Genomic DNA, 14907 nt, shown 5'->3' on the forward strand with positions numbered 1-14907 from the left:
CGGAGCCGGAAGCTGGGCATCTGCAGCTGGCTCGGCGCACTCCACTGACCGTCCCGACGATGCTACGCGCGCCCGGCTGCCTCCTCCGGACCTCCGTAGCGCCTGCCGCGGCCCTGGCTGCGGCGCTGCTCTCGTCGCTTGCGCGCTGCTCTCTTCTAGAGCCGAGGGACCCGGTGGCCTCGTCGCTCAGCCCCTATTTCGGCACCAAGACTCGCTACGAGGATGTCAACCCCGTGCTATTGTCGGGCCCCGAGGCTCCGTGGCGGGACCCTGAGCTGCTGGAGGGGACCTGCACCCCGGTGCAGCTGGTCGCCCTCATTCGCCACGGCACCCGCTACCCCACGGTCAAACAGATCCGCAAGCTGAGGCAGCTGCACGGGTTGCTGCAGGCCCGCGGGTCCAGGGATGGCGGGGCTAGTAGTACCGGCAGCCGCGACCTGGGTGCAGCGCTGGCCGACTGGCCTTTGTGGTACGCGGACTGGATGGACGGGCAGCTAGTAGAGAAGGGACGGCAGGATATGCGACAGCTGGCGCTGCGTCTGGCCTCGCTCTTCCCGGCCCTTTTCAGCCGTGAGAACTACGGCCGCCTGCGGCTCATCACCAGTTCCAAGCACCGCTGCATGGATAGCAGCGCCGCCTTCCTGCAGGGGCTGTGGCAGCACTACCACCCTGGCTTGCCGCCGCCGGACGTCGCAGGTGACCCCCCGGGCGGCCCGTGTGCTGTCCCGGTCCTCCCACCCGCCCTGGATGCTCTCCCGCCTCCCCCAGACCCTGGGCTTTTCCGATGCCCCCCAGTTCTCTTTCCTCTTTTCCCAAGCCATCATCCCTCGGGCTACGTCCTCCCTGTCGAGGGATATTACAGACTTGGCTATCTCTTTTTCCCCTTACACGTATGTTCATTTATTAATTCATCAGGTGTAAATTCAGCACCTTGTACTCGCTGCCTGCTTTAGTAGAGTTGGGGATCCAACAGGAAAGGGGACAGACGAGGTCTCCCGCAATTTTTGCGCTCCCGTTCCCAAACTGAATTGCCCCTTCGAGCGCCAACCCATCCCTTCCCCCTTCCCTGGCGTCTAGTTTCACAATTGGGCGCACGTTTTAAAAAACAGAATCTAGAATTTTCTTCCTCGGGCTTTGCTTCCGATACTAGTTTTTCCTTCTTTCTTTTTTTTTTTTTTTAAACTCATCATCTTTTTCAGATGACAGTTTTAGACCTACACCCTGTTTTAGGAACCTGATCTCAAGCCTTTGTGTCCTCCTTTTTTCTTCTGTTTTGTTCATGTTTTTACTGTAGCGTTCCCATCGTTGTAGCTGTGGTCCGTGGTCACAAGCAGTAACAACTCATTTATTCCATTAATTACACTTTTTCGAAATTTGAGAAATCATCTAGTAAGGCCCCGTTATTTCACAGGTGAAGAACCCGAGCCCAAGAGTATGCCTTCTTAATTGTCTTTCTCTAAGGTCTAGTATCCAAGTCTTCTGTTTTCCTAGAATGGTTCTTTTTCTCTTAGAAAATGTTGTAATAGTTACAAATAATAATGATAGCATACACCTCATGCCTATTGTATGCCAGGTATGCCTCACATTTATTTTACAAAATCCTTACAACCACAATCTGGAGTTGATAGTATTTTCCCCTTATCTCAAAGATGAGGAAATTGATACACGAACACATTAAATAATTTGCCCATTTTCATACAGCTAGCTGTGGACCCAGGAAATCTGATTCAGAGCTTGCTTTCTTAGCCATTATGCTATACTGCCTCCATTTGTCCAATAACATACCTAATAAGAATAAAAACATGTAACATTTTTGTACCACAGAGATGAGCAAGCATTAATAGTTTCTTGATCACTTTTAAGGCCAGAATTGAAGTGAGGATTATTGTTTAGCTTCAAAGCCCAAGTGAAAAATTAGAAGTAGGCTGGTTTGTAATTTCTTCTGTAGCTGTTGAACAGTGAAACCATCTGTAAGGGATTTCTCCACTGATTCTGTGTCATGTTATTGTGGGTAATTCAGTTAGCTGACTTGTGTCTAATTACTTGTTGAACTGTGTTTTTTTTTAAATATATACTTTTTCCATTAGCATGAGTGAAAATTCCTCATAAATCTGTTAAATTAACAGAATGGTGAAAGCAGAACATATTTTAATATAACACAATATCTATAGCGACTTCCTGGAACAAGTGAATTTTTGTTCTCAGATGGCATTGCGAAGACTGGCATTTGACTCTCAGTACAGAGCCAGGGATGAAAATACTACAGTTCAGAATAAGCCCACTCCTGACCGTTTTCAGTGTCAGATAGCAAACCCTTTGCCTAGCCACTTTATTATTCTCTATAGACAATAGTTTTGCCTATTATGTACATCTGGTCTTTTGAGGGAGTCTGCTGAATTAGATTTGTAGTTTTGTAGAAACAGAACAATGCCTTTGTTTTTGTTTAAAGACTAGCAATAATTAGATAGTAACAAGGATAAAATACCCAGATGCACTTGGGAAATTATATTTTAGTGTACACAGAAAAAAGGTGACAAAGTTCGCTTATTTTCCTAGTCAAGATATTTTCTTAAGAATTGCAATCCAGTTGACAAAGTGGGCAGAATTATCCATTTCAAGAGAAACAAACATACATACTGATTTTTTTTGCATACACATCCAAAGCCCAGATAAAACTATATTCAATTTTCTCATATTTTATGTACAAAAATGATATACTTGGTGTTCTTTTCGTGGTAAATTGTTGGAGAAATGATTGAAAAATGTGTGTTTTGAATATGACTGAAAAAAACGTAAAGGGCACACCAGTAGTTGAAGCATGATTATGAATGCTTCTCCAATACATATTTGTTGCCCAATTGGGGGCATAATGTAATTTATTAAATTTTATATAGAAAGTTATCTGGGGCTTCAGTTAAAAGATAAACCAATTCACAGGCCCAGCACAGTGAAGCACAGGAGACCCAAAACATCAGTGCGTTTTGTGCTGCTGTCAGTAGTTTTTGTCCAAAGCAGAATCTTTGTAAAGTAATACAGAGTTGGGAAGGTTAATTGAGAAAATAAAATACTCTGTTTAGACTTTGGCTTAGAGTGAAAAAATAGATTCCATATGTTGAATTCTCTCTCACCTTGTAAGTAGAAACTTTGCTGATTTTTAGTTTGCTTTCTAAAGTTTTCCGTGCCTGACAGAAACAGTACTTATTAATGTATGATGCAATTTCATTGCGTAGCATCTCTACAACACATTTAATCTTCAATCTCTATTTCTTTAGCCTTTTCTAGCTATTCTCATGCGTTACAGCCATTATAAATGGGGAATAATTTTACCCCAAGAGTTTCCTGACCAATATGTGCTTATTTCAGCTGTGCGGATTAGTAAGATGTTAGTGTTCCTTTTTCACACTTAACATTTTCAATAATTTGAAACTGTCATTTATGTCAGTGATTTACAAATACATATAAATTTTTTTCTCTTTCAGATATGGAGTTTGGACCTCCAACAGTTAATGATAAACTAATGAGATTTTTTGATCACTGTGAGAAGTTTTTAACTGAAGTAGAAAAAAATGCTACAGCTCTTTATCACGTGGAAGCCTTCAAAACTGGACCAGAAATGCAGAACATTTTAAAAAAAGTTGCAGCTACTTTGCAAGTGCCAGTAAATGATTTAAATGCAGGTAATATGTCTGTTGTCTTTTATTTGAACTTAACAGTTTAAATAATTTTGAACTGTGAAAATGAAAACATAAGGAAACAGTCTTTTTTAAAGACCCATAATTGATCTACATTAAGAAAATAATATGTTCTGGGTCAAAAAAATTGTATACCTTGTGCTTACTATTTACCATTTTTAGATTCATATTCTTCTTTGAGTGTTATTTAAATTACTGTACAAGATTCTAGTTATATTCTGGAGTTTTTTTGAGGGCAGAGTAATATAAAGCCTCAACTGTAGGCATTATTTTTAAAACAAATTATCTTTTCTGAATTTCCCCCTGATAAAGTGATACAAATGGAAAAATCATATAAATTCTTTAGCTTTTGAAGCAGTTCAAAAGTACCTGTTAATGTGTAAGAGGGGTAAGTTTTAGAAAGTGAAAAGCAAAGTACTATGATGTTTTTTGAGTTATATGTAGCAATGCTGAGAAGATGAGCAGTCATGTCTATCATAAGTTATTGCAGTGGATGGGCTGACTATGCAACTTACCATCCAAACTGGTGGGACACTTTCGAAAGTGAAAGGGAACACTATTAATAATTTTGCCAGGAAAGCAGGTGGGAAACCATGGCACATGGTCACCTAGCAATGGGAGATTAAGAAAATAAGATTTTTTTCTGTTTTCTAGGAATTTATGTTCCATAGGGTAGATGTTGACAAAGATACATGCAAAGATTGTAGATTACATTATACTCTGAATTAATTTCCAAAAGACTGGAAGTAGATGTTGGGGAAAAAATAGATTAGAATTTATCAGTCACAGGGCCTGGATGCTTTATAAGGATCAAAAAGAAGATGCCTAGACTAGCATTTGAAATTGAATTTTTTCTCTCTCTCCAAACTGGCAGTACATTGGCATCGCCTGTGGAGCTTTAAAAATTATTTACTTTATTGGGAAATAATTCAAACACGAAGATAACAAAAAAGGCTAATGTGGTGAACATCCCTATACCCACAACTTGGTTTTACTAAATTTTAACTTTGTGCTTCAGTTACTTGCCTTAAATAAATTGAGGTCTACTGGTCCCTTTCCTGGATCCCATTCTTCTTCCTTTCTCACCAGTGGTAATTGTTGTCATGAATTGAGCATTTATATTATCCCATGCCAGTTTTATACATAAATGGGATATTGTTTTGCAGATTTTAAAACTTTTAAGAGTGGTATCAAAGTTTATACCAGTCCAAAATTCTATTTTTATGCAACTTTTTGTTTTTGATGTAATGTTTGCAATTCTAGTCCTACATTTTAAATGTATGTATTTCATTCTACATCTATACCAATATCTAGCCATTATTCTGTTAGTAGGCAGTTAGGTTGTTGAAAAAGATTTTTTAAAACTATGTTTAGTCTCTGAATGGGCAAGAATTATGTATTTTACTGATGAAGTAACTGACAGCAACTTCTTTTTGGAAGCAGTATTAAGTATAGTGGTTAAAATAATGGATTCTGGAATTGGACTATTTGCATTTGAATCTTGACTCTACTATCCTATTGAATAACTATGATTTTTGACAAGTTTATTAATGTCTTTATGCCACAGTTTCCTTTTCTGTAAAATGAACATGGGAATTATTCTTGTCTTATAGGATTATTGCAAAGATTATATAAGATTAATTCATACAAAGCATTTAGTACCTGGCGCAGTAATTGCGCAATAAATACTTTTGCTATTTAAATACCCTTTTGTTTACATAGGGGGTGATGCTATATGTATTTTCAGTAACTTACTATTTTTACTTAACAATATATTTGTCTCTAGACAAATATAGAACTGTCTCATTCTTTTAAATCCTGTGTTATTTCATGGGACATATGAATGACTCGATTTGTAAGTCAATGCTAGTTAAATTGTTTAACCCATCATCGAATTTTACTGCTGTAAGAGGCTGTTGCTAATGCAGTCCAAATTCTTTTTATAGAAACCATTTTCCTACTGAAGTTTTTCTTAGTTTTTAACTCTTTCAGGTAATGCTACAGTGAACATTCTTGTAGTCTGTTTTTTACACTTGAGAGTTTATTTGTAAGATAAAATAGGTGAGGCCGAGTGCCGTGGCATAACCTATAATCCCAGCACTTTGGGAGGCCAAGGTGGGTGGATCACTGGAGCCCAGGAGTTCAAGACCAGCCTTGGCAACATGGTGAAACCCTGCCTCTATCAAAGACACAAAAGTTAGCCAGTCTTATAACTTGGTCTCCAAATAAATAAATAGATTTCTAAAAATGTTTTTTAAAGATAAATAGGTGAAATTGCTGGGTTAACACACATGAATATTTTACATCTTGACATATATTTTTAAATTGTTCTCTGAAGGTGTAGTAAAAATTTATATCCACAGTATATGAGAATGTTCATTTTCCCATATCTTCCAACAGTAGATATTATTAGTCATTTTAATTTTCGCCAATTTGATTAATGAAAAATAGTATCTAGCTTTAATTTGCAGTTCTTTGATTACTTCTGAAAGTGAACATATTTTCATGTTTAGTAGCCATTTGCATTTCTTCTAAAAATTACCCCTTCATAATTTTGTTCATTTTCTATTGGGTTATTTTTGTTTTCTTATGAATCACAAATACCTTTTATGTATTATGGATATATTAATTATATCTTTTAATTCTGCCTGACAAAGGATTCGCCCTTTGCTTGTTGTATGTTGCTAATATTTTAATTTCTTGCTTATCTCTTAGGTTTGTTGATGGTGCCTTTGATTGCACAGAAGTTTACATCTTTTACATAGCCATATCTGTCTCTTCATTATGGCTTCTGAGTGTTGTATTTTGTCTAGGAATCCTCCCACCGCAAGATTATTATGTTTTCCTATTGTCTTCCTTTTTTGTTGTTTTATTTTTTTCTCAGGGGAGTGGAGGGAAAGGGTCTATTTCGTTTTTTAAATATTTAAATTTCTTATCCACCTGAAATATTTTTGAGGTTCTGAAAGATTGACCACGAAATCAGAAGGGTCATAACAGATAAGTCAGAGCTATAACTTAAATAAGATAGTGTATCTAACCTCTTTACTTTGTAAGTGGGGAAATTGACACTAAAGAGAGCTTACCCAGGATAATTAGTGGTAAAGTCAGGTCTCAGCCTGTCTTCATCTGATGCTTTTTCTCCCTGTACTCTGAAGAGTTTTTTGGTGAATTTTTTTTTTCTGGTAAACTCTCTTCCGGTTTAAGAATATACCATGTGGACTGACTTCATAGTTTCAGAATTAGAGCTTCGAGTGTAAATAAGCCAGGTCCTTTCATCAAATGTACCTGGTACTTACAAGCCACTATATTGTATCAGGTATTGAGATTATAAAACCTTTTCTTTACGTAAGCAAAGTTTTGAATGGCTTTTCTGTATATTCCCAATGAAATACATTTTTTTTGTATTATATACTGCCTCAGGAATTCTTTAAACTCAGAACTAGTGCAAAATGCATGTAACGCCAGTTGATTTTTGGTCCCATTTTCCTTTAGGAAAACAGGAAAGGCAGTAAAATTAAAGAAAAATCAAAGCAATGGAGGCAACCACTGCAGTTGACTTTTTTTTCTCTCTAGCATTAAATATCACCCACTTCTCATTGACTAGAGAGCAGCAGTGTTTTTATTTACTAACAAAGGCTACTTTTTATAGCCCAAGCATTCATTCCCTTATCACTTCTCTTCAATACCCATATGTATCTCAAAGTAATGTAATCAGCAAATTAGCAGTGTAAAAATGCTAGATAACTTATTCTGAAATCCACTTCCGAAATCATTTGAGCAGCTAAGTTTGAAAAACTCATGTTGGTACCAACATTTCTCTCTTTAGTGTGTGATTTTTCCCTTTTTGTGCTTCTCCTCCTTGGCTGTCTCTCCTTTCTCCTTCCCCCTCACTTACCTTGCACTTCCTTCCCTCTCCATCTCTGTAGTCTTCTCTCTCCTTTTATATCTTTTCTGTACTTACTGCTGCTTCTTAGTTATAAAATGAATTGTATAATTTAAACTGTTTAATAAATGTACTTTGTTATTTGTAATTTTCAAGTCGGGTACTAAAACCTTTATAACCTTAGCCCCCCTCCTTGAACCCTCTAAAATTAACAAAATCATATTAAGTTTTATATAGCAAGTCCTTGGGTTATACTTTTTGTTGATATTGCTAGGCAAATATGCTCTTAACAAGTAATTGCCTGAGGCAGGAGGATTGCTTGAGCCCAGGAATCCGAGTTTGCAGTGAGCTGTGATCACCACTGCACTCTAGCCTGGACAACAGAGCAAGACCCTGTCCAAAAAAAAAAGGCAGAAAAAAGTTACCAATTACAGAAAATTTCTTAGTTTTATTGGGCTGAAATTTATACTTCCTCATGGTTTCTTCCTGATAGTTCAGTTCTGCACCCTTAAATTACACAGAGAAAGTCTCTTAATTCTTTGATAGCCAGGAAGAAACTAAATTATTTCTTCCCCAAACTGAAGATGTCCATTTTATTGAGCTGTACCACACATGGCATTCTACAGATATTTAGCCTTTGAAAAATTGCAGAAAATAATGACCCACAAAATTTTACCTTTTTTTCCCCCCAGATTTAATTCAAGTAGCCTTTTTCACCTGTTCATTTGACCTGGCAATTAAAGGTGTTAAATCTCCTTGGTGTGATGTTTTTGACATAGATGATGCAAAGGTAAGTATTATTTTTGCAGTTTCTTTGCTTTTTTAAAAAAATTTTTTTTGGCTTGCTTGTTTGCATTTGGTTACTTGAAGCAGCTTTTCAGAAAATGAGTAGTTAGGGAACATAAACTGTTTTGTGACTAACTCCTAATTTTCCTTAAATAAAGAGAGATTAAAGGTTCAAATTGGTCCCACCTACTTGTAAATAGTTTAGGTTCAAAAAACTCTGGAAACATTTTTTCCATGATGATTTGATTTCTAAATCATCCCATTTACAGACCTACTTTTAACCCATCATCAAATTTTACTGCTTGGAAGGGATTATAGAGCTGATATAATCCCAGATTCTTTTTATGGGAAGCCAAAGCTCAGAGAGAATAAATGGGTTTCCAAAGTCCTAGCAACTATTTTATAACAGTTTTCATGGGAAATTGTGTTCTGTGTTTTACAGTGAACACTTGTATGTCCTTCACCTATATTTACCAGTTAACCTTTTTTGCCACATTTCCTTTATCACTCTCTCTACTATATTAGTTTCCTATTGGTGCTCTAACAAGTTACCACAAACTTACTGGCTTAAAACAATATAAGTTTATTATCTTATGGTTCTGGAGGTCAGAAGTTCAAATTGAATCTTACAGGGCTGAAATCAAGGTATCAATAGAGCCGTATACAATAGAGCCGTATTCTTTCAGGGGGCTTTAGGAGAACATCTGTACCCTGCTTTTTCTGATCTCCAGAGGCTGCTTGCATTTCCTATCACTCAGACTTCTGACGGGTACATCTCCAGCTCTAACTGTCCTTCCTGCCTGCCTCTCGTAAGGATACTTGTTGATTACACTGGGCCCACCTAGATAGTCCAGGATTTATCTCTCCATCTCGAGATTCATAAGTTAATCACACTGGCAGATTCCCTTTTATCAGGTAAGGTAACATATTCATAGGATGTCAGGGATTAGAATGTGGACATATGGGAGCTGTTTTTTCTGTCTACCGTGTGTATATAATCTTTTTTTCCCCGCCCCACCATCAGGATGCTTCACCCTTAAATACTTGGGCATGCATCTAGGACAAGAACATTCTTTTGTATAACCACAATACAGAATACTATAGTTCATATTTATGTATATCATATATATCACAATATTTTCTAATGTACAGTCAACTTTCAAATTTTCACGTCTTAAGTCTTTTATAGCTGTTTTTTGTTTGCTTTGTTTTATAAGATTCAGGATCTAATAAGGGATCATTCATTGCATTTGGTTGCATTTCTTTTAGTCTCGTTTAACCTGAAAGAGTGCTCCAGCCTTTCTTTTGTCCTTCGTACATTGGCGTTTTGGAAGAGTCTAGGCCAGGTTTTTTGCAGAATGTTTTTGGATGTGTCTGATATTTTTTACTCAGGATTAGATTCAGATTAAACATTTTTGACAAGAGCACTACGTAAGTGATATATCCTTCTCAGTGCATCATATCAGAAGGACTGATGTCTGCTTGTCATGTCATTGATTATTATTACTATTTTTTTGAGACAGTGTCTCTCTCTGTTGCCCAGGCTGGAGTGCAGTGGCGCAATCTCAGCTAACTGAAACCTCTGCCTCCCGGATTCAAGTGATTTTCCTGCCTCAGCCTCTCCAGTAGCTGGGATTACAGGCGTGTGCTACCATGCCCAGGTAATTTTTTTATTTTTAGTAGAGATGGGGTTTCACCATGTTAGCCAGGCTGATCTTGAACTCCTGACCTTAGGTGATCTGCCCGCCTGGGCCCCCCAAAGTGCTGGTATTACAGGCATCAGCCACCACTCCTGGCCAGTGATGTTTGATCATTAGATTACAATGGTGCCTGCCTGATTTCTTTATTGTAGAGGTACTTTTTTTCCTTGTAAATAAAGAACTTCTTGGCCGGGCGTGGTGGTTCATGCCTGTAATCCCAGCACTTTGGGCGGCCAAGGCGGGTGGATCACCTGAGGTTAGGAGTTCGAGACCAGCCTGGCCAATGTGGTGAAACCCCGTCCATACTAAAAATTAAAAAATTAGCCAAGCGTGGTGGTGCACACCTGTGATCCCAGCTACTCGGGAGGCTGAAGCAGGAGAATCGCTTGAACCCAGGAGGTGGAGGTTGCAGTGAGCCAAGATTGTGCCACTGCATTCCAGCCTGGGCAACAAAGCAAGACTCTGTCTCAGAAAAAAAAGGAAAAAAGGAAAAAAAAGAACTTCTAATTTAAATGACTGTGACTTGAAAATTTAAATACATGTTTATTAAATTAATTGAATAATAGTTTCTTTTTACATGTGAAAAGAAATTAAATTCTTCTTTTAAAAATTAAGGTTGTCTTTTGATTGAGGTATTTTCTATTATTTACTTCAGCAATTTGTTAGAAAATAATTTATCCCTGCTTAGGACTTTCACTGTGAAATAGGTTTATATGCTGAAGTATTTACAGGTGAAATAAAATGATACCTGGGATTTGCTTCAAAATAATACAGTGGTGGTGGTAGGAGCAAAGCTGAAATGGGATTGGTTGAATGTTGATTATTGTTGAAGTTGGATGAGTACACAGAGGTTCGTTATACTACTGTTTTATATTTTTTATGTGTTTAAAGTTCTTTGTTAAGAATTTTTTTTTTTTTTTTTTTTTTTTGAGACAGAGTCTTCCTCTGTCGCCCAGGCTGGAGTGCAGTGGCCCAATCTCAGCTCACTGCAACCTCTGCCTCTTGCGTTCAAGCAGTCCTCCTGCCTCAGCCTCCCCAGTAGCTGGGATTACAGGCATGTGCCATCATGCCCGGCTAATGTTTGTATTTTTAGTAGAGACGGGGTTTCACCATGTTGGCCAGGCTGGTCTCGAACTCCTGAACTCAAGTGATCCGCCCGCCTCACCCTCCCAAAGTGCTGGGTTTACAGGTGTGAGCCACCGCACCTGGCCAAGAATGTTTTTTACAATTAAAAATTAATAGACATTTATGAAATTCTGAGATAATTAGATATCCTGGACTTTGTGTACCTTCAGCAAGCATTTTTTGAGTTTCCGTTCTGTGACAAGCACTTGCTTGGAACTAAAGACACTAACATAAGATAGATATTGTCCTCAAAGAATGCCACAAGGAATGAAAGACATGTAACTAAACCATTGCAAGACAATAGGATGTCTATACAGTGATAGAAGTATACTCAGATGCTCCTTAAGTTATGGTGGGGTTGCATCCAGATAAACCCATGGTAGATTGAATATCTTAAGTTGGAAGTACATTTACGACTTACAATGGATTTATCCAGACATAGCCTCGTTGTAAGTCAAGGAGCGCACTGAAAGTGTATTGCTTTTGAACCATTGTAAAGTTGAAAAATTTTAAGTCAAACCATCATAAGTTGCAGACTGCCCATGAAAGGTGTAGTGGGGCACAAAGGAGAAAGTTAATTTGTAGGATAGCTTTTTTGCAATTTGTGTCTGCTTTAATAAGTATATCTAGATTTTCTCTCTCCTGGGATTAGTTTTGGTATTTAATATACCTATAAAAGTCATTTATGTTATCCATTATTTGCTGAATTAAGCAAATATATCTTTTGATTTTAAAAAGTGTTTTCCTTCTCTGAAATTATTTCTCCGTAATTGTGTATTTTTGCTTTCAATTTTTTCTTTATTACAGTAGTTTATTGTTTACTAATTTATTTTTTCCCTAAGAAACAGTTTAGCTTTATCTGTTTTTGAACTTTATAATGATGGAATTACTCAGCGTGTGTTTTTTTTCTTTTGGTATCTAGCTCTTGTTCAACATTAAGTTTTTAAGATTTATTTGGGAGCTAAATGGTGAGAACACATGGACAGATAGAGGGGAACAACATACACTGGGGCCTTTCAGAGGGCAGAGGATGGGAAGAGAGAGAGGATCAGGAAAAATAACTAATGGGCACTAGGATTAATAACTGGGTAATGAAGTAATCCATACAACAAACTCCCACGACACAAGTTAAAAAAAAAGCTTCCCATTTATAGATTGCTACTTAGAAGGCAGGGATTTGAACTGGGAGGAATTTAAAATGATCTTGACCTGTTGTGTTGTGAAAAGGTTTACAAATTTCAGGAAAATATACCTCTTCTCAAATGGATTGGGAATTATGAGGTCACAGACATTTCTCAGGATTCCGTAAAACATGTACCTGTAGCAGAGTATTAGAGGAGATTGAAGCAAAGGGGCAAGCGGTAACTTCTTGGGGGCGATTAAGTCATTGTATTATCATGGTGGGGGCAGGTTATACAGTTGTTTATATTTGTCGAAAGTCATCAGCCTGTATATTTAAATCATGTGTATGTAAATTACAATTTAATAAAGTTTTAAAAATGAAAAAAGATTTATGAGGTTGCATATAGCTACAATTTTTAATTTTCATTACTGTATAATATTCCATTATATGAATATTTTACAGTTTATTCATTATCTTTTCAGTAGACATTGTTTTTAGTTTGGGGCTATTATGAACCTTGTTGCTATGAACATTATTGTATATGTTTATTGGGGTACAGGTATACCTGTTTCTGAAGGTGTATGTCTGGTAGAATTATCGATTCTCATGCTTCAGCCTCCTGAGTAGCTGGGACCACAGGCATCCGCCACCACACCTGGCTAATTTTTGTATTTTTAGTAGAGACGGGGTTTTGCCATGTTGGCCAGGCTGGTCTTGAACTCTTGACCTCAAGGGAGCCACTTGCCTCAGCCTCCCAAACTGTTGGGATTACAGGTGTGAGCCACTGCACCTGGCCTTTTTTTTTTTTTTTTGAGACAGAGTCTTGCTCTGTCACCCAGGCTGGAGTACAGAGGCGTGATCTCGGCTCACTGCAAGCTCCACCTCCCGGGTTCAAGCCATTCTGCTGCCTCAGCCTCCCGAGCAGCTGGGATTACAGGCACCCGCCACCACACCCGGCTAATTTTTTGTGTTTTTAGTAGAGACGGGGTTTCACCCTGTTAGCCAGGATGGTCTCGATCTCCTGACCTCGCAATCCGCCTGTCTCAGCCTCCCAAAGTGCTGGGATTACAGGCGTGAGCCACCGCACCCGGCCCTTTTTTTTTTTTAAATATAAAGTTTTAGTGGTAAGCATGTGAGAATTTTTTAAATCTCCAGTTGCCTCCTTTTTATTTCTAATAGTAGATTTTATTATTTGAATAGATTGAACAGACTATTATCTAATTCCTTTTTAAATTTCTTAGTGTTTACGTCTCTTTGTTAACTTCTTGATTTCATTGCCTTTGTGTAAGGACAGACTCTCTCAAGCCGTGTTTTTCCTTTACTCTCACACCACCATCACAATCATCAACACAGAAGACTTCTGTGACCAAATGTGTGGGAGCCTTTCCCCTGCACGCCAAGCAGGAGACACCAGCTGGGTGTCCTCCAGTTCAGATTTGACATTGTCTACCTGGAGGTAGTATTAGATCCCACAGGTTGAGGGCTCAGTCCCCAAGTGCCCCATCGGTACTCTTCTGTTCAGCTGGCTTCAAGTTGGCGTTCCCATGACCTCTTCTTTGGGTTCAGTTAATTTGCTGTAGCAGCTCACAGAACTCAAGGAAACACTTTTGCTGGTTTATTATAAAGGATGTTACAAAGGATACAGATGAAGAGATGAGTAGGGCGAGATATGGGGGAAGGGGCGTGGAGCTTCCATGTCCTCCCTGGGCATGCCACCCTCCAGGAAGCTCCACATGTTCAGCTATCTGTAAGCTCTCTAAACCCAGTCCTCTTGGGTTTTTATGGAAGTATTCCTTCCCCCCAGGATATGAGGCAGGACCCTTTCAGGGCAGGATCTTAAGACCCCCAGAAAGGCAGGAAGATTAGAGTTCTGCCTCCGCACAGGTGAAAGGGAGGCAGGAGAGAGATTCTGTTTCCTGAGGCCTGCCCTGGAGGCCTAACACACCCAGCATTATACCAAAAGACTACAACAAGGGATATGGGAGTTACAAACCAGGAAGTGTGGACGAAAGCCAATATATACATATCATAATACCACAGGTCAGCCCCTGGTTTTCGAAGAGGGATACCTTACATCAAAAGAATATATACAATCATTAATAATCCAGTCCATCATCTGTATGAATGTCTTCCAGGGCAAGGCCACTCAGGTTTGCCAGCTTCCTTTCAATCCTGTCAGGTTCCAAAACCAGGAGTGGTCTTGGCAAATTTATGGCTTCACCCTTTCATGCATCTGTCATACTTGAGCTAAGAGACAGCGTCACCTTTTGCTCTGAGCCCCGTTCAAGGCGTTCATGTAATATGTCATTTCCTTCAATTTATAACCCGTTTATTCATCCTTTTTCCCTCAGCTGTTCTCCTTTTCTTCATTAATAAATATCTACACTGCTACCTTTGGAAGGGACACAAGTTGCCATTGTGCTGTGCTAGTCTAGATTGTAGGCAGCAATGCTAGTGTAGCAAGTAGCTCCTCCTCACCCCTTTAATGTATTTTTTGTTTTGTTTTTATATATGGCACTGACCCACCCCTGCTCTTAAAACTTACTATGACATGCACTTAGTTTCTCTAGGAGCTCTTTCGGGAAGAAAGGTTTGTGA

General features: G+C 38.7%; 1 protein-coding gene across 6 annotated transcripts in view, besides 2 other annotated features; it reads left to right on the forward strand.

Annotated features, from left to right (window-relative positions):
* Nucleotides 7–96: an enhancer, noted in NCBI's record as "active region_3707". NCBI's record gives its function as "activates an Ori minimal core promoter by ATAC-STARR-seq in GM12878 lymphoblastoid cells {active_cell/tissue: GM12878}" and the evidence as "EXISTENCE:reporter gene assay evidence [ECO:0000049][PMID:35858748]".
* Nucleotides 37–14907, forward strand: part of MINPP1 (multiple inositol-polyphosphate phosphatase 1) — a 48569-nt gene continuing 33698 nt past the window's right edge. For 2 of the 6 annotated variants that reach the window (NM_004897.5, XM_006718078.4), the window contains exons 1-3: nt 37–696; nt 3480–3677; nt 8268–8365. In NM_004897.5, the coding sequence (NP_004888.2) occupies nt 60–696; nt 3480–3677; nt 8268–8365 (933 nt within the window). In that variant the 5' untranslated portion in view covers nt 37–59. Of the gene's footprint in view, nt 697–2976; nt 3383–3479; nt 3678–8267; nt 8366–9904; nt 10023–14907 lie in introns of those variants that run through there. The other 4 variants (XM_011540379.4, XM_017016965.3, NM_001178118.2 and 1 more) reach the window with 4 other exon arrangements.
* Nucleotides 257–316: an enhancer, noted in NCBI's record as "active region_3708". NCBI's record gives its function as "activates an Ori minimal core promoter by ATAC-STARR-seq in GM12878 lymphoblastoid cells {active_cell/tissue: GM12878}" and the evidence as "EXISTENCE:reporter gene assay evidence [ECO:0000049][PMID:35858748]".

Source organism: Homo sapiens, chromosome 10, assembly GCF_000001405.40.
Source record: "Homo sapiens chromosome 10, GRCh38.p14 Primary Assembly".
Lineage (NCBI taxonomy): Eukaryota > Metazoa > Chordata > Mammalia > Primates > Hominidae > Homo > Homo sapiens.